Source organism: Homo sapiens, chromosome 16 (assembly GCF_000001405.40).
Source record: "Homo sapiens chromosome 16, GRCh38.p14 Primary Assembly".
In the NCBI taxonomy this organism is placed as follows: domain Eukaryota; kingdom Metazoa; phylum Chordata; class Mammalia; order Primates; family Hominidae; genus Homo; species Homo sapiens.
This window is the reverse complement of record NC_000016.10, coordinates 70417390-70434455: the sequence shown is the minus strand read 5'-3', so window position 1 is coordinate 70434455 and position 17066 is coordinate 70417390. Positions and strand designations below refer to the sequence as shown.

Sequence of the window (17066 nt, the reverse complement as noted above, 5' to 3'; positions counted from 1 at the left end):
ATTTTTTTTTTTTTGTTTTTGAGATGGAGTCTCGTTCTGTTGCCAGGCTGGAGTACAGTGGTGTGATCTCGGCTCACTGCAACCTCTGACTCCTGGGTTCAAGCGACTCTCATGCCTCAGCCTCCCGAGTAGCTGGGATTACAGGCACGCACCACCACAGCCAGCTAATTTTTGTATTGTTACTAGAGACGGGGTTTTGCCATGTTGGCCAGGCTGGTCTCGAACTCCTGACCTCGTGATCCGCCTGCCTCGGCCTCCCAAACTGCTGGGACTATAGGTGTGAGACACTGTGCCTGGCCAAGTCTGAGTCTTTTTGAGCTGAGAACTGTGCTGAGTGTTGTGGAGGAGACAGTAATGTCCAAGTTGCTGTTCCTGGGAGGGGGATAAGACGAGTCCACCAATAGATCTACAGTGGAAATGTGGCCAGTTAAAGGAGGTCGAAGTCATCCCCATAGGGAGCTCAGAAAAGGCATTTGGGATGGGCCTCTAAGGGTAGGTTTCCAAGCAGTGCCTGTGGGCTGGAGGGGGTGTGCAGGCCAACAGGTACAAAGAAAGGCTATCACAAGGCACATTTAGGGAGTTGTCCCTTTTTTCTAGAGCATAGGGGATTTATTTAGAAAGTAGTAAGGAATCCTATTTGGTTGCAAGCAGCAACTTGGCTGCCTTTGGCAGGAAAGCATTTCCTTGGAAAGCTGTGGGAACTATAAAATCAGAGTGATGACTCAGGACCCAGGTCCCCTCCAGGGTCTTGGAGTGGGTGCAGCAGGAACCAAAGGCCAGTCTCTTCAGGGAACCGCTGTTGCCAGGATGCATCTGCTCCAGCTGTGCTCACTCATTTTGTCATCACTGCTTGGGATTCATATCTGAGGGAGGAAGTGTCTGGTTGGCCCAGCCTGGGCCGTGTTCCCTTGTTCCCTTCCTTGGCCAGGGAAGGGCTGGTGGCATGTTGGGCAGTTCCCTCGCAACCCTGCATCCAAAAGCAAAACTCTCCAGAAGGAGAGAAAATACACACTGCAAAAAATCTGTCCAGACAGGTGCTGGATAAGGACTTGAACTGACAGGTGGTGAAGCAGGGGGCTTTAGTCTGACTAGTTTCTGAGCAGACCGAGGGCAAACTGGCAGCAGGGTATGGCTGGGTCATAAGGGGACAGGGAGAGGAGGGAGGGAGGAGATGGAGAACTAGATAGAGTCCAATTGAGGTATGCAGGCCGGCACTTGGCAGTAGAAGTGGAAAAGAGGGGACGGAGTCTAGAGAGCTTGCAAAAGTAGCTGTCTTCAGAGCAGACACTGATGGGCTGGGGCTTGGAGTTTCAGTGCCTGGTGATGAGAGCTGGTTCCTTTACTGAAATGGGGCAGTCAGGAGGAGGAAGAGTTTAGGAGAAGGTGATGTGGCCTCGCTTTGGAGGAGCTGTGTGCTTATGCTGACCGCACACCCGGAATCCTGGTGAGCTTCCTGAGGTTGGGAGCCTTGCCCTGAGGCGGTGGGGCCGCCGAGCCCCAGAGGCTCTCTATGTGGTGGACACAGCTGGGGCTCTCTGCCAGCTGGGTGCTTTTGCATCTCTTCTGTTTCCACATGCAGCCCGGGATGGGCTTCTCCTCCTTCCCCTTCTGTGCTTTCAGTTCCTGTGTCCCAGCTTCCGTCCCACACACCTGAGTCCTTACCAACTAAAGGGCCTGGCCCTGCTTTCTGAGACCGAGTTTTCCTTCCTCTCTGCTCAGAGTGCTTGTTAATGATAAGTCCTCATTCAGCTATTAGGGTAGACATCTCCAAGTGACATGTCGCAAGAAGGGGGGTCTGAACTTTGCCTGCTATCTGGGGGAAATCAGGCTTTTTCCTCCAGTTATGCCATGCTCATCAGGGACCCCTGCCTATGTCCCTAACCAGCCATTTTAGCGTACTTCTTGTTGCTATTTATAAATCATTGTTGTAGTTACAACATATTGTCAGGCTTCCATGTTGCCGTTGTGGACCTTGTAGGGTTCCAGGGCACAGGCTGGGCTTTGGGCAATCCTAGCTTTCTAGCTGAGCCCTGGTGGTTTCCTGCTGCAGAAATGGGTGGGAGGGAGGGAACAGAGTTGTCTTGGGTGGAGGCAGGAGGAGCTATGCTGAAGGGTGCCTTATCCCTGCAGATTCTTAGAGCAGGTCATCTTCCTGGAGTGAAGAGGACTTTCCCTCAATTCAAATATGTTTGCTGTTTTACCAACTATTAATGCAGTGGATACTACCATGTACAATAAGGTGAACAAGGGCCAAGGTAAATCTAGAGGAAAAAATGTAATTTTTAAAAATTTTACCAATCATGCTAAATGGGGCCTCGCTGTGTCACCCAGGCTGGAATACAGTGGTGCTGTCATAGTTCACTGCAGCCTTGAACTCTTGGGCTCAAGTGGTCCTTCCACCTCAGCTTCCTGAGTAGCTGCAGCAACTACAGGTGTACACTACTTTGTGCCCAGCTAAGTTAAAAAAAAATATATATATATATATTTTTTTTAAGACGGAGTCTCGCTCTGTTGCCCAGGCTGGAGTGCAGTGGCGCCATCTCGGCTCACTGCAAGCTCTGCCTCCTGGGTTCATGCCATTCTCCTGCCTCAGCCTCCCGAGTAGCTGGGACTACAGGCACCCGCCACCACGCCTGGCTAATTTTCTTGTATTTTTAGTAGAGACGGGGTTTCACTGTATTAGCCAGGATGGTCTCGATCTCATGACCTCGTGATCTGCCCGCCTCGGCCTCCCAAAGTGCTGGGATTACAGAGGTGAGCCACTGCACCTGGCCAATTTTTTTTTTTTTTTTTAAAGAGATGGGAGTTTTGCTGTGTTTCCCAGGCTGGTCTTGAACTCCTGGCTTCAAGTGATCCTCCCACCTGGCTAAATTTTATTTGCATGTTGGTGATAATTAACACAACACACATAGTTCTGGTATCAGATGTTGAAAACAACCCAGCTTCTTCTTTCTGATGCTATTGGTTTCTAGGTGAAGGGGCCCGTCCTCCTGGGAGGTGGCATTGCGGGGCCCAGGGGCAGAGAGGGGACCCTGAGGTGTTGCGGCATGACCCAAGGACCTGCTCTGTCTTTTCTCTCTTGACTGAGCAGTCCTAGCCCTGCGGGCAGGCAGCAGCCCCCCAGCCTCAGCAGGTCAGCAGCCTTTGGAGGGAGAAAATTGGCAACAAATGTTAATAGCTAATTGGTCTACAGGGAACTACTTTGGTGTGGAAAAATCAACAAGATATTTGTGTGGCTAAAGGGAACTTAGAGGGACTAGGGCTGACAGTGAAGAGGGGAAGATGAGGAGAGGCACACGTCAGGAGATTGCCCCGCCCTGCCACCCCCACCTCTCCACCCCCTGCTGCCTGCCTCCCCCACGCCCCCTCCTTCCTGTCTTCTTTGCAGGCTTCCTTTTTGTTTGCAAGGGACATTAGTAGAATATGGAATCTCCCCTGCCCTGTAAGTCAGGTTTCCCCAACCTTTGTTCCTACCCAAGTTCAGTTAAACACAAAGCACCAGCGATTTGATGCAGGCAGTGAATTGGAACCTGAGTTTCAGGGGGAAGTGAAAGTTTCTGTGGGCCTGTGTGGAGTCCCTAGGCTACACAAGAAAAGATGGCAGCAACCAAAGGGAATGAGGCTGTGTGGGAAAGTAAAGGGAGAGGAGAGAACCCCGGCCTCCTCGGTTCCCACCTCTCTTGGGTGCTCTAGGGAGCAGTGTGAGTCCTGGGTTCGGGTTGCCAGACCACAAGGGAGTTTCTGGGGCCTGGCCCTCTCTCTGCTCCTTCCTGTCCCAAAGGGCTTAGTATTTCCCTGGATCCAGGCCTGTTTAGTGTTTGGCTGGTTTCTGGGGCCTCCAGCATGGCTCAGGGGAGACCCCAGGTCCATGGGTAGGAGGAGATGGTGAGGAGAGGAATGGGGATCCCATTCAGGCTCCCCTCGTGAAGGGGGCCAACACTGGTACTTCCTTAGACGGGAAGAGGCTGTGGCATGGGAAGCAGGTCAATAGTTTGTGTCAAGGAGGTGCAGCCCAAGATCACAGTGGTGGCTGTTTGATGAAGGATTTTCCTCAGTGCCTGAAAAGCAATTTACTCTTGTCCTTAAAGCAACAGTGGGTAGGCTTCTAGAATGAGTGTGAGTTTTCATCTCAAGTGGCAGTGCCCAGCTGTCTGCATACCTCAGCCCCTTCAGACCTGGCTGAGGTATTTTAGAGGGCATTGTCTTCCACCCATGCTGCCAGTCCTGGCAGTTCCTGCCCAGCCTGGATCCCTGGGCATACCCTGCCACTAATGCTGTGCAGACAAAGTGAGGCCTGCTGGCCCTCTGTTGGCAGCCCAGAGGCCCAGGTGGAGGCCTGGGCTGGCCGAGGGCCCAGGAGCATCAGGGCAGGTCTGTTTGGCTGTCCTCAAGGGAAAGCAGCTTGTTATTCTCAGGGGGCATGAGGGTGCAGCTGATTTTCACAGTCTAGGGCTTGGTCTGGTTGAATGCATATAGGATTCTTGCTGCCTTAGCTACCCACAGGGTTTTGGTGCTGTGTGACCCGGGGCAAGTCATTACCCCTCTCTAAGCCTGGGAGGCCAAGGCGGGCAGATCACCTGAGGTCAGGAGTTCAAGACCAGCCTGGCCAATATGGCAAAACCCTATCTCTACTAACAATACAAAAAATTAGCCGGGTGTGGTGGAGGGCGCCTGTAATCCCAGCTACTGGGGAGGCTGAGGCAGGAGAATCACTTGAACCTGGGAGGTGGAGGTTACAGTGAGCCGTGATCACCCCATTTCACTCCAGCCTGGGCAATAAGAGCGAAACTCTGTCTCAAAAAAAAAAAAAAAAAAAAGAATTTAAAGCCCTGCTCAGGGATTCACTCTTTTTTTTTTTTTTTTTTTTGAGACAGAGTCTTGCTCTGTTGCCCAGGCTGGAGTGCAGTGGCGCGATCTCGGCTCACTGCAAGCTCCGCCTCCCGGGTTCATGCCATTCTCCTGCCTCAGCCTGCTAGCTGGGACTACAGGCATCTGCCACTACGCCCGGCTAATTTTTTGTATTTTTAGTAGAGACGGTGTTTCACCGTGTTAGCCAGGATGGTCTCGATCTCCTGACCTCGTGATCTGCCCACCTCAGCCTCCCAAAGTGCTGGGATTACAGGCTTGAGCCACCTTACCCGGCCTCAGGGATTCATTCTTCAGCCATCTGGTCAACCTGATTGACAGAAGCCCGCCACAGCCTGAGTGGGGAGGTAGTACTGGGGGCCCAGGAGGCCATCATAAGGGCCAGATGTCTGTGGGAATTGGCTTGAACTTTCTCCTAACCTGTTTGGATGCGTTAAGCAGCAGCCAGCCTGCTCTGGCATCTCCCTGGACAACTCAGGCTCCTGCAGCTGAGGGGGCTGTGCTCAGTTCCCCTGCATCCAGTAGTTCCTCACCCCCACTTCCAACTCCTGCTCTGTCCTGGATTCAGGCAGAAAACTCCATCTGGTCTCTTTCCTCCCTTCTTACTCTGGCCACCATTTAGGCCCTGGGGTGACTGTTAATAGGATTCCCATTTTTTTATTTGCCAAGTTCTCCCCCACCCTTTTACATCCTGTGCTCTGCTCTAGCCAGGTTTTTCCCCAAAGCCAGGGTGGGAGGTGGAATCAGACTGATCTGGGAGGCGCTGGGTCAGCCGCACAGCCACGTGGCAGATCTGTGAGGAGTTGAGAACCCGCTTGGAAGGGGCTGGGTAGGATCTCACTGTAGAGAAGAGGAGGAAGGTAGTGAGGAAAAGGCCACACATACCAAGATACAAAGGCCTGAACTGAGAAGGCAGGGGACGTGTGGGGACCTTGAGAAGTCCAGTTTGAGCAGAGCATAAGGTTTCCTGGATTGTGTCCAAGAGGGAGGGATAGGATAGAGGGGTCTGGGGAGAGATGGGCCCCAAGCCCCACCCTAGCAGGGAGGAAGGGGCAGGCTTTCTGGCAGCCTCTGGCTGTCCTGGGCTGGTCACAAAGAATTGTGCTTACAGGAAGCGGGGGAGGGGTTGTTAATGGCAGTTTGTTCACAGGCTGCAAGGCTGCCAAAGGTCAGTCTGATAAGAGGGAAGAGATAGACTCCTTGAGTTTTGTAATCCCAGATAGCTGCCTTCTCTTAGCTGGCCCCACAGATACTGACAGTTGAGTTGGTGCTGCTGCCGCTCTGTCACCTCCTCCTGAAATACACAGCCCCTGGCTTCGGCCCAGCTGGGTTTCCCCTGCCTGGCCACCAGCTCCCTTTCCCATCTGCGGTCAGCTGTGCACTGGGGGAGGGGACAAACCTGGCAAGACTGAGCTCATTCTGAGCCTGACTCAGGAGTTTGAAGCCTCCCCAGGAGTGGTGCCAGGGCTGTGGACAGAGCAGTGACTTCCAGACCTTTCCGTTCCATTTTGGTGTCAGGGTTATCCTGCAGCCCAGCCAGCCAGACCTGGGGCCTTTGGGGAGTTCCGCCTTTACCCCAGAGCATTGGGAGGTCTGGCTGTTGTGATGAGAGGAATTAGAGATGGGGATCTAATGAGATTTGCTTATGTGAAGACCACTTTGGCTACCCTATGAAGAAGGAGTTGAAGGGGGTCCGTTTAGTAGATCTGGGGCTTAAGTGGTTAGGACTGCTGGAGGTGAAGAATGACATTTCCTTGGATGGAGTGATGGTTGTAGACAGAGCGAGAAATAGATCTGAGAGACATTTCAGTGGTAAAAATTAGTTGAGATTTGTAATAGATTGGCTGTGAGAGGTTGAGGAAGGAGGGCTCACATATGACTCTTACATTTCAGGCTTAGATGGATGGGGGTTCCTTTCCCAGAAATTGGGAATACAGAAAGAATACTGGGTTTGGCCAGGCGCAGTGGCTCACGCCTGTAATCCCAGCACTTTGGGAGGCTGAGGCGGGCGGATCACGAGGTCAGGAGATCGAGACCATCCTGGCTAACACGGTGAAACCCCATCTCTACTAAAAATACAAAAATTAGCCAGGCATGGTGGCGGGGGCCTGTAGTCCCAGCTACTTGGGAGGCTGAGGCAGGAGAATGGCTTGAACCCAGGAGGTGGAGGTTGCAGTGAGCCGAGATCGCACCACTGCACTCCAGCCTGGGCGACAGAGTGAGATTCAGTCTCAAAAAAAAAAAAAAAAAAGAAGACTGGGTTTGAGGGGCTTGAGGGGCTTGGATTATGCATGGGTTTGGTTTGGGGCAAGTTGAGTTTGAGATACTTTTTGGATACCTCTACTAAGGTATACTGTCTAAAGGATAGCATCCAGAAATTAGTGGGATAGATGGGTCTGGTGTTCAGGGGCGTGACTGTCACCATTTGAAAAGCCAGAGATGCTCAGGTATGGTGGCTTGTGTCTGTAATCTCAGCACTTTGGGATGCTGAGGTAAGAGGATTGCCTAAGCCCAGGAGTTCGAGACCAGCCTGGGAAACATAGGGAGACCATGTCGGTAAAAAGTATTTTAAAAAGTAGCTGGGAATGGTGGTACATACCTGTGGTCCCGGCTACTCGGGAGGCTGAGGTGGGAGGATTGCTGGAGCCTGGGAGGTCAAGACTGCAGTGAACCATTTTTGCGCCACTGCACTCCAGCCTGAGCGACAGAGCGAGACCCTTTGTCAAAAAAGAAAGAGAGAAAATCCAGAGATAATTCTTAAAGGTTGAAATACACTTTTGGGCCAGGCGCGGTGGCTCACGCCTATAATTCCAACACTTTGGGAGGCCGAGGTGGGTGGATCACCTGAGGTTGGGAGTTCAAGACCAGCCTGACCAACATGGAGAAACCCCGTCTCTACTAAAAATACAAAATTAGCCGGGATGGTGGTGCATGCCTGTAATCCCAGCTACTCAGGAGGCTGAGGCAGGAGAATCGCTTGAACCCGGGAGGCAGAGGTTGTGGTGAGCCGAGATTGCGCCATTGCACTCCAGTCTAGGCAACAAGAGTGAAACTCTGTCTCAAAAAAAAAAAAAGAAAAACACTTCTGAGGGCCGGGTGTGGTGGCTCACACCTGTAATCCCAGCACTTTGGGAGGCCGAGGCAGGCGGATTGCCTGAGGTCAGGAGTTCAAGACCAGCCTGGCCAATCTGGTGAAACCCCGTGTCTACGAAAAATATAAAGAATTAGCTGGGTGTGGTGGCATTCACCTCACCTGTGGTCCCAGCTACTCGGGAGGCTGAGGCAGGAGAATCGCTTGAACCTGGGAGGCGGAGGTTGCAGTGAGCCGAGATCGCGCCACTGCACTCCAGCCTGGGCGACAGAGTGAGATTCAGTCTCAAAAACAAAAAAAAAAAAAAAAAAAAAAAAGGCTTTGGCCCCCATAATGCATTGCAAGATGAGCAATGGAACGTAGGATCCTAACTTCCTGTTACGTTCTATATTGACGGTCATGTTCTTTTTTCCTGAGGACTTCAGCTGGTTCAAGGTATGGCTAGACAGCAAAAGGCATGGCACCCTCCCCTGCTGAGGCTTCCCTGTGGTTGGGGGACTCTGATGGTGGGCAGTGTTTACTCCAGGCCACCCCAGAAGGCCATGCAGTCAGGGCCTCCCTCACCATCCGCACGTCTGGGCAGTTCCCTGGCTGGAGAAGGACTTCAGTCCTGGCCAGAATTGAGCCACTGCCAGGAATCCCTGAACGTCAGTACCCGGACCACTTCTGCCCTTGTGGGCCTCTGAGCTGGGTCGATTTATCAAGGGTAGGGATTTTAGAGGCAGGTTCAGGGCAGCCCTTCTGCATCAGATGTCAAGTAAGTAGTTTTTTTTTTTGAGACAGAGTTTCGCTCTTGTTACCCACCCAGGCTGGAGTGAATGGAGCGGTCTCGGTTCACTGCAGCTTCCACCTCTCGGGTTCAAGCGATTCTCCTGTGTCAGCTTCCCGAGTAGCTGGATTACCATTTTACATTCTAACGTTCAATTTTTAACAAGGTAAATTAACAAATGGCAGTAGAACTATGGCAAAGCATGGTCTCCATGGGTCAAAATGGTACCTGGCACTACCTCAATATATCACTGTTTTTTTTTTGTCCTGAGACGGAGTCTCACTCTGTCACCCAGGCTGGAGTGCAGTGGCACGATCTCAGCTCACTGCAACCTCTGCCTCCTGGGTTCAAGCAATTCTCCTGCCTCAGCCTCCTGAGTAGCTGGAACTACAGGCGCACATCACCACGCCCAGCTAATTTTTGTATCTTTATCAGAGACAGGCTTTCACCATGGTGACCAGGCTGATCTTGAACTCCTGACCTCAGGTGATCTGTCCACCTCGGCCTCCTAAAGTGCTGGAATTACAGACGTGAGCTGCTGCGCCTGGCCTATCACTTTTTTTTTATGTTGCCCAGGCTGTACTTGAACTCTTGGGTTCAAGCAATCCTTCCACCTCAGCTTCCTAAGCAGTGGGGACTACAGGCGTGCATCACCATGCCCAGCTCAATACAAGACATCTTTATCATTAACAACAGGTCTTTGGGGAACCATCTCTCCCCAGCTGCCATCTCTGTGCCCTGTAACCCAGGCTTGGCCAATAAGGGCACCAAATGCACCCAGCCACAGTGCCTGGTCCAGGTTTGGACACAGACTCCATATCAGAGTGAACCCAGGACTCCAGCAGGCATCTTGAAAAGAGATGCTGAGACGAAGGAGGCCTGTGCCACGAGCAGGCACCTTCCATCATGTGGGAACCAAGAGTGGCATCATTTTCCCTGCATGTGGCCAGTCATACCCACAGGCATCTGAGTTAAAGGTTTCCCTTACATCAAAGGGCACTTCAAATTGGATTTTTAGCCACTGTAATTAAAGAAGTTCAAATGATACAGTCTTACACCATGTGCAACCATTTTCCATTTCATTGGCAAGAACTTTATTATTTATTTATTTATTTATTTAATTTTTTTGAGACAGAGTTTTGCTCTTATTGTCCAGGCTGGAGTGCCATGGCACAATCTCGGCTCACCGCGACCTCCACCTCCCGGGTTCAAGCAATTCTCCTGTCTCAGCCTCCCGAGTAGCTGGGATTACAGGCATGCACCACCACGCCTGGCTAATTTTGTATTTTTAGTAGAGACGGGGTTTCTCCATGTTGGTCAGGCTGGTCTCGAACTCCCAACCTCAGGTGATCCGCCTGCCTCGGCCTCCCAAAGTGCTGGGATTATAGGCATTAGCCATTGTGCCCAGCCAAGAACCTTATAAAGCTACTTACTTGGCAGGGCGCAGTGGCTCACACCTGTAATCCCAGCACTTTGGGAGGCCGAGGCAGGTGGATCACCTGAGGTCGGGAGTTCGAGACCAGTCTGACCAACATGGAGAAACCCCGTCTCTACTAAAAGTACAAAAAAAAAAAAATTAGCTGGGCGTCATGGCGCATGCCTGTGATCCCAGCTACTCAGGAGGCTGAGGCAGGAGAATGGCTTTTTTTGTTTTGTTTTGTTTTGTTTTTTTGAGACGAAGTCTCACTCTGTCACCCAGGCTGGAGTGCAGTGGCACGATCTTGGCTCACTGCCAGCTCTGCCTCCCGAGTTCATGCCATTTTCCCGCCTCAGCCTCCTGAGTAGCTGGGACTACAGGCGCTTGCCACCACGCCCGGCTAATTTTTTGTACTTTTAGTAGAGACGGGGTTTCACTGTGGTCTCTGTCTCCTGACCTCGTGATCTGCCCGCCTCAGCCTCCTAAAGTGCTGGGATTACAAGCGTGAGCCACTGCACCCGGCCAGGAGAATCGCTTTAACCCAGGAGGTGGAGGTTGTGGTGAGCCGAGATCACACCATTGCACTCCAGCCTGGGCAAAAAGAGCGAAACTCCATCTCAAAAAAAAAAAAAAAAAAATCATTGAGTCATTCCATTTACAGATCAGGAAGTGGAAGTTGAGAAATTTGCCCAAGATCCCCAAGCCAGGAGGTAGAAGAACTGAGGCAAGAACCCAGGTTGTCTGAATTGCAGGCAGGGGGCTTTTTCCAGTATGGAGTACTGACTTTTTTGTTTGTTTGTTTTGAGATGGAGTCTTTCTCTGTCACCCAGGTTGGAGTGCAGTAACTTGGTCTTGGCTCATTGCAGCCTCCGCCTCCCAGGTTCAAGCGATTCCCCTGCCTCAGCCTCCCCAGTAGCAGGGATGACAGGCATGTGCCACCACGCCCAGCTAATTTTTTGTATTTTTAGTAGAGACGGGATTTCACCATGTTGGCCAGGCTGGATTCAAACTCCTGACCTCAGGTGATCTTCCGGACGCAGCCTCCCAAAGTGCTGGGATTACAGGCGTGAGCCACCGCGCCCAGCCTAAAGTGTTGATTTTTATGGCAAATGGTCCCTTCCTCTTAATGGCCCGGGGGGAGATCTGTGTGATAGCTGGTGTTAGGAAAGGTCTGAGATGGAGACATTCAGTGACGTCAGCTTCCTGAATGCCCACCCTCCTGTGCTGTTTCTTGCTGGCACTGGGATGAGGACATGGCTCTGGTGTGGCTGTGTTTTCTCAATTCTGTTGAGGGATTTGGGGTGAGTCGTGCTCCCCCTCTGTCTCCTCCTTTGGAAGAGAATGCCCAGGACAGTGGTGCCAGTTTCAGGTACAGAAAAACAAAAATAGCGCTCTTTTGGACTCAGTTCTCTGTCACTTCCAGTTTGTGAGGGGACAGGTATTTGACTCAGCTTGGCAAAGCCAGGAATGGAGTGTTGTAGTAAGAGCTTAGCAGCGTGCTTTGGGCTTTGAGCCTCTGACTTAAGAGGAGACCTCAGTTCAGTCTTACACAGGCTTCTTACCTCAGGTGAGTCACTTTGCTGGGGTCTCTGGGCCAGAGGTCAAGGCTGCCCCTATGAGGGCTTTGGACTCTGAGGGTGTGGCGTTATGTGTGTATTAGCAAAATGCTGGTGTGCCTGGGAGCTTTGGGGCAATGCTCACCAGCTCCTGAGTTCTCGGGAGTGAAGTTTGGGACTGGATGCCTCTTGCATTCTGAGCCTCTCACTCCTGTGTCTTTCCTCTTGCCCTTCAGATGTTTGCTGACAGCCATTTCTCTCCCGAACTGTCTGCCAGCCCAGACTGACCTGTCTGCTTCTCCTGCTCAGCGCCCAGAGCACCCTGTCTGTTTATGCCTGGGGCCGGTTTTAACTGGTCCCCCAGTCCCATGTCACACACACCTGTTCCCTTTGGCTTAGCTGCAGTGTCACCTCTCGTCCCTGTTTCCTTCCTCTCTATGAGGCTGAAAGTCAATGTTACTTGGAGATACAGCACTCCACAGCCTACAGTCATTGCTCATTTAATCTTTGCAGGGAGTGCGTGAGGTCAGTAGGTAGGCATTATCGTGCTCATTTTACAAATGGAGGACCTGCAGCCCAGAGAGGTGTGATTTGCCCAAAGACACACAGCTGCTCTGCTATTGAGCACAGCCAGTCCTGGAATCAAGGTCCTCCAGCATTGGTCCATCATTCCCTGTGAAATGTTAGTGCAGGCTGGGCTTGGTGGCTCAGGCCCGTAATTCCAGCACTTTCGGGGGCTGAGACGGGAGGATTGGGGTCAGGAGTTCAAGACCAGCCTGGGCAGCATAGCAAGATCCTAGCTTTACAAAAACAAACAATAACAACAAACAAAATGGTAATTCATAGGCATGAGTTAACCACATATGGGGTGGGGATGCCCTAGCCTCACAATGGCCCTATGAGGGCTTTGGACTCTGAAAGCGAAGTCAGGTGCGGTGTTGTGTGTACCTGTGGTCCCAGCTGCTCAGGATGCTGAGGCTGAGGCAGGAGGCCAAGACTGCAGTGAGCCATGATCCTAGCACTGCACTCCAGCCTGGGCTGGAGTAAGACCTTGTCTCAAGGAGGGGTGGGGCTTGAAAGCGGGCCCTGGGCCCCACCTCCTCACATCCCCAGTCCCTGATAGCACCATCATGTGGGCGATGCCTGTGTAACCCCAAGCTGTATCATAAAGCTGGACAACAAAGACAGCTCCCTGGGGTCCACTGTAATGGACCAAGGTCTGTGCGTCCTTCCTTTCCACATCCCCCTAAAGTTGACAACAGTAGTACATGGCACGATGGATGTTGTCTTGGCAGGGAGCTTATAACTCAGCTTAGGCCAGATCCAGGAGGGCAGGTCAGTCCTTGAGGATGGGCAGCAGGGACCGAGGAGGGCCCTTGGCGTCCCCCAACCTTCGTTTTTCTCACCCCGGGGATAAGGCTCAGAGGCGGTGCCAGGGAAAGGCCCACTTTGGGCCTACTCACAGCAGCGATATTGCCACTTTCCAGAGGTGGTGAACTGATTCCCTAGCAACCAGGGGCCCTGCCTGAGTAGGTCACAGCATGTCATCGGCTCCTCAGGAAAGAGGAAGACTGCTCAGCTGGAGCTCGGGACCATGAAGGCAGGTGTGTGCTGGGCTCTCAGGCACTGTCCTCCCCAGCCCACCTCCCAGGGCTGAACCTTAGTGACAGGGAAAAGCAGGGTGCAGGACAGCGATGCTTCCCAAAGCCACCTGCAGGGTTGGTGCTGGAAGTTACCAGATGGCACCAGGCTGGCCGTGGGCTCACAATGACCTCTCTTCCTAGCTGGAACTTCCAGGGTCCCTGTTGGAAAGGAAGTGTCCAGAGGACACAGCAGCTGAGCAAGGGGCCCACCTCTGGTTCCCTCCATCTTTTACTCTGCATTTCTATACCTTCACTCTGGAGGGCTGGGTGGGAGGACATGGCTTCCTTTTAGTCTTCTGGTAGAAGCATGGATGCAAACACCTTCCTTGAGTTTCCATGAGCATAGCTGCCACAGGCTGACCTTTCCAAAAGACATTACTAAATATAAAAGGAGAACAAAAGAAAGCTAAAGATAGGGCGTGCAAAGAATAAAAACAGCCTGGCTCACAAAGAACAAGTTACTGGTTTGTTTCCAAAGCTTTCGGACCCTGCCCTGTTATTCCCCTTCCAGGAGATAACCACCTCCAAGGCCAGCAGACGTCTGCAGGCCCTTTCGCCAGGCTCTCTGGCCTCCTAGTGCTGGCTTGTCCACTGTCTAGGTTGTCTTGTAGGACCCATGCCACCAGGAATCCTCTCCAGACTACTTGACCACCCTGCAGTCAGATCTCTGTTCTGCCCTCTTCTCTACCCAGGGCTCTTGGCTGTGGTGGCGGAGGGAGGGATGCCTGTTTCCCTAGGTCTCCCAGGTGATTGGCACCTATGTGACTGGACCTTTTAGGAGTGCAGCCTTGTTCCATGTAGGCCTTGTAATATGACCTACCTCTTGCCATGCTGCTCAGGCCAGTTTAGCCCACGAACTGCCATACAAAAGGCTTTCTCCAACATTTGATCTTGGCAGAAACTATAGAAGTCTCCCCACCTGGTTCCATCCTCCCACTGGGCCACAAGAATAGAAACTGATAAGAAGTTGGCCTAGTTGATGGAAGTTTGAACCCGGGGACAGAGGTTGCAGTGAACCGAGATCATGCCATTTCACTCTAGCTTGGGTGAAAGAGCAAAACTTCATCTCAAAAAAAAAAAAAAAAAAAAGGGAAGGGGGGGGTCAAATGGTCAGTTGTGGTGTCCCTACCCCACTGATAACATAGGAGCCCTTTGGAGGGATTTGCCTGGTACAAAGTAGGCCTCCATACCTGCAGCCTGGACTGTTGCTGTCATCATATTGCCTGGCCCCAGTGGTTCTGGCGGACACCCCACCTTGGTAGCTTGGCTGGGCAGGAGGACTGAAAGATTACAGGCAGAGGTCATACCAGCCCGGTGGAGGAGGCGAGGTCCATGACTGGGGCTGATGATGAGAAAGAACCATGTTTTCACCTGTACCTTTGAGTGTGATGCCAGCACTAGCGAGGCGAGCGAGCTGCTCTGACCTCTGGCCGCCAGGCTGGGACAGGGAAGCCTCTGAGACCCGAGGCTGCTGCACCCAGGGCCTCATGTCCCAGAAGCTCTCACAGCATTCTCAGGGGCTTAGCTTGTCTTGTGTGTTGGAGCTTTGGGCTGAGCCTGTTTCAGTATGCCAGCCAGGTCACTGTGCCGCTGCCCTCTGGTTTGCAGAGGGCCTTTGTGCCTATGCAGTGACTCCACAGACTGTCTTGCAGCTTTCCTTTCCACTGAAGCAGTCACTTCCCCTGCTGCCGGGGCCCCTGTCTTATGGATTTGCAGTGCTCGTGGTTGGATTGTGACCTCTTTCCTGGTATTCTCTCCCCTATTCTCACATCCCTAACAGGATCTGGGGATAGATGGTGGATTTTTAAGTCCAGTCCTTCAACTCTGGGCCGCAAAGACTGTGGCCTGAAGTTCTGGAGCATATCTCCTCTTTCCTTTGGTATGCATGGGTGGGACTTGCAGGCACCCTAGCTTAGCCCCTTGCCATCAGCCCCTGCTGGGGTCTAGCAGGCCTGAGCCTTTTCCAGGGTGGCCAGCCTGCTGGAGCTTACAGTGGGGGAGGGTAGGACCCAGACCAGAGTCCCTCGCCATGGTCCAGCCTTGATGTTGACATCCAAGAGTTGGGAGAGGGGGAGGGAATGCCCTGCCCTCCCTGCCACTTTGTGCGACTCGCCCGGGTTGGGCCCTTTAGGAGAGCATTTGTGTCCCTGCCCTGGAGTCTCCTCTTCCTGCTGTGTGCCCTTGCTCGGGGTTGTTCCAGGAAGCCTCTGGTGTGGGGGGCTCTGTTGCCACCAGCTGATTTCCTGCCCCAGGTGCGTGGGTGGGGGAGGAGAGGGTTGAAGATTACCTGGAGAAATCGCCCGCTTTGCTTCCGTTTCACCCCTCTTCTAGGGAGGACAGCAGAGTGCACAGAGGTTCTCTTCTAATCCTCTCACCCCCAACCTGGTCCTCCACAACCAGGCTAGAGCGTATCTATGTATCTGGGGAAGCCAGGGCTTGGGGAGGAGTGGACTGACCCGTGTTCTGTGAAGGTCAAGGAGGGCCCACTTCGATGAGGATGAGTTTGGCAGGGAGCGTGGTCCTGCTCGCCGAGCGGGGCTGTAAGTGGAGGACTGCACCTGCCTTTTCCTCCTTGAAGCCCCAGCTCTGGCCTCAGCAGTAGTGCCCTGCTGGTGGTTAGTATTCCTGTCACCAGCTCCGCCTCCTTACAGAGGGAAAAGCCTCCAGTTGGGACCCTGGGATGCCAGTCTCTGAGGTCAGCTGCCCCTGATACCTTTGGAAGGGACAGCCCTCCTGGAGGAAGGATAGCTGTCAAAGCCAAGGAGCCCTGACTTTGTGGTAGGCTGGAGGGCTTGCAGGAAGTCCTCAAAACAGAGGAGCCCCATTGCTGTGCTCCTTGACAGAGCAGGAAGCTGGCCTGATTGTTTCCAGAGAGGACCCACCAGGCCGTAGGAAAAAGGGCTTGGCTAAGGGGTCAGTGAGGGCTCTTCCCAGTCTGGCTGCCACTGCCTGGTGTCGATCAATAACTGTGCAGAACACACGCATCTTGTGTTTTTCTCTTGTGATTCAAAGCATTCTCCAGACATGCAGACGAGTACAGAAGGAAAAAGAGGACCCTGACAGCTCCTCAGTGGCTCCTTATTATACATCTACGGTGTGACCAAGATCAGAATCATAAGCAGTGATGAGCAGCCAAGCTACCTGGCATTCTGAATCCTATCTTTAAAAGAAATCAGAGCGGACTGTCAGCACCTTAGTCCCTTCACCCCGGGAGGTAGTGTGGTCCAGTTTAATGGCCCCCTGGAGGCAGTCAGAGGGCAGCGTTGGGAGATGAACTTCTAACATTCCCCCCGCCCCCCCAGCCACGCCATGCCACCCCATACACTCCAGACCCTCTCTGGCTTCCCCTGGTCCACCGTTTATTCATCCCACTTCCCACTTCCTCCAGAAGTCTCCCCTGGAGACTTGGGTTCATCCCCCTCTCTCCTACCTTCAGGGTCTGCAACTCATCTTCTGCCTCTATTAATGTCTGAGGCTTTTGGCCTTGCAGAGAAACTCCTTATTATAATAGCTTTGTATTCTAGAATCTTGCTCCTGGCTTGTGGCTGTCTGGCCTCCAGCCTCAGGGAGCTGTTTAGAGCCAGCTCAGGTCAGGCCTCTGCTCTGCAGGGTGTGCTAAAGTGGGGGCTGGGGAAGGGGTTACGGCCGTGTCCCATAGGATGGACGCGCACCGTCCTCTGCTGGGTCTAGGGGCAAGGATCAACCAAGGTAGGGCTGGCCCTGA

General features: G+C 52.7%; 1 protein-coding gene and 1 long non-coding RNA gene across 5 annotated transcripts in view, besides 10 other annotated features; one reads left to right on the top strand and one right to left on the bottom strand.

The window, feature by feature from the left end:
• ST3GAL2 (ST3 beta-galactoside alpha-2,3-sialyltransferase 2) overlaps nucleotides 1-17066 on the top strand; it is a 63124-nt gene that overhangs the window by 4645 nt on the left and 41413 nt on the right. The window lies entirely within an intron of this gene.
• Nucleotides 366-926: an enhancer, noted in NCBI's record as "H3K27ac-H3K4me1 hESC enhancer chr16:70467433-70467993 (GRCh37/hg19 assembly coordinates)". NCBI's record gives its function as "activates a minimal SCP1, AML or CMV promoter by ChIP-STARR-seq in primed H9 embryonic stem cells {active_cell/tissue: H9 hESC(primed)}" and the evidence as "EXISTENCE:reporter gene assay evidence [ECO:0000049][PMID:30033119]".
• Nucleotides 3131-3822: an enhancer, noted in NCBI's record as "NANOG-H3K27ac-H3K4me1 hESC enhancer chr16:70464537-70465228 (GRCh37/hg19 assembly coordinates)". NCBI's record gives its function as "activates a minimal SCP1, AML or CMV promoter by ChIP-STARR-seq in naive H9 embryonic stem cells {active_cell/tissue: H9 hESC(naive)}" and the evidence as "EXISTENCE:reporter gene assay evidence [ECO:0000049][PMID:30033119]".
• Nucleotides 3660-3769: an enhancer, noted in NCBI's record as "active region_11062". NCBI's record gives its function as "activates an Ori minimal core promoter by ATAC-STARR-seq in GM12878 lymphoblastoid cells {active_cell/tissue: GM12878}" and the evidence as "EXISTENCE:reporter gene assay evidence [ECO:0000049][PMID:35858748]".
• Nucleotides 5000-5089: an enhancer, noted in NCBI's record as "active region_11061". NCBI's record gives its function as "activates an Ori minimal core promoter by ATAC-STARR-seq in GM12878 lymphoblastoid cells {active_cell/tissue: GM12878}" and the evidence as "EXISTENCE:reporter gene assay evidence [ECO:0000049][PMID:35858748]".
• Nucleotides 5207-5896: an enhancer, noted in NCBI's record as "NANOG-H3K27ac-H3K4me1 hESC enhancer chr16:70462463-70463152 (GRCh37/hg19 assembly coordinates)". NCBI's record gives its function as "activates a minimal SCP1, AML or CMV promoter by ChIP-STARR-seq in naive H9 embryonic stem cells {active_cell/tissue: H9 hESC(naive)}" and the evidence as "EXISTENCE:reporter gene assay evidence [ECO:0000049][PMID:30033119]".
• Nucleotides 5897-6588: an enhancer, noted in NCBI's record as "H3K27ac-H3K4me1 hESC enhancer chr16:70461771-70462462 (GRCh37/hg19 assembly coordinates)". NCBI's record gives its function as "activates a minimal SCP1, AML or CMV promoter by ChIP-STARR-seq in naive H9 embryonic stem cells {active_cell/tissue: H9 hESC(naive)}" and the evidence as "EXISTENCE:reporter gene assay evidence [ECO:0000049][PMID:30033119]".
• Nucleotides 6060-6319: an enhancer, noted in NCBI's record as "active region_11060". NCBI's record gives its function as "activates an Ori minimal core promoter by ATAC-STARR-seq in GM12878 lymphoblastoid cells {active_cell/tissue: GM12878}" and the evidence as "EXISTENCE:reporter gene assay evidence [ECO:0000049][PMID:35858748]".
• On the bottom strand, nucleotides 7546-17043 carry LOC124903707 (uncharacterized). Of its 4 annotated transcripts, none has more exons than XR_007065102.1 (3): nucleotides 14163-17043; nucleotides 13591-13720; nucleotides 7546-7583 (listed from the first exon to the last, which is right to left on the bottom strand). It is a non-coding gene; the product is annotated as an uncharacterized LOC124903707 (long non-coding RNA). The 4 variants fall into 4 exon arrangements; XR_007065100.1 differs by having other exon boundaries at nucleotides 14533-17043; XR_007065101.1 differs by having other exon boundaries at nucleotides 13591-14684; nucleotides 16773-17043.
• Nucleotides 8881-9706: an enhancer, noted in NCBI's record as "H3K27ac hESC enhancer chr16:70458653-70459478 (GRCh37/hg19 assembly coordinates)". NCBI's record gives its function as "activates a minimal SCP1, AML or CMV promoter by ChIP-STARR-seq in primed H9 embryonic stem cells {active_cell/tissue: H9 hESC(primed)}" and the evidence as "EXISTENCE:reporter gene assay evidence [ECO:0000049][PMID:30033119]".
• Nucleotides 12834-12883: an enhancer, noted in NCBI's record as "active region_11059". NCBI's record gives its function as "activates an Ori minimal core promoter by ATAC-STARR-seq in GM12878 lymphoblastoid cells {active_cell/tissue: GM12878}" and the evidence as "EXISTENCE:reporter gene assay evidence [ECO:0000049][PMID:35858748]".
• Nucleotides 14836-14955: an enhancer, noted in NCBI's record as "active region_11058". NCBI's record gives its function as "activates an Ori minimal core promoter by ATAC-STARR-seq in GM12878 lymphoblastoid cells {active_cell/tissue: GM12878}" and the evidence as "EXISTENCE:reporter gene assay evidence [ECO:0000049][PMID:35858748]".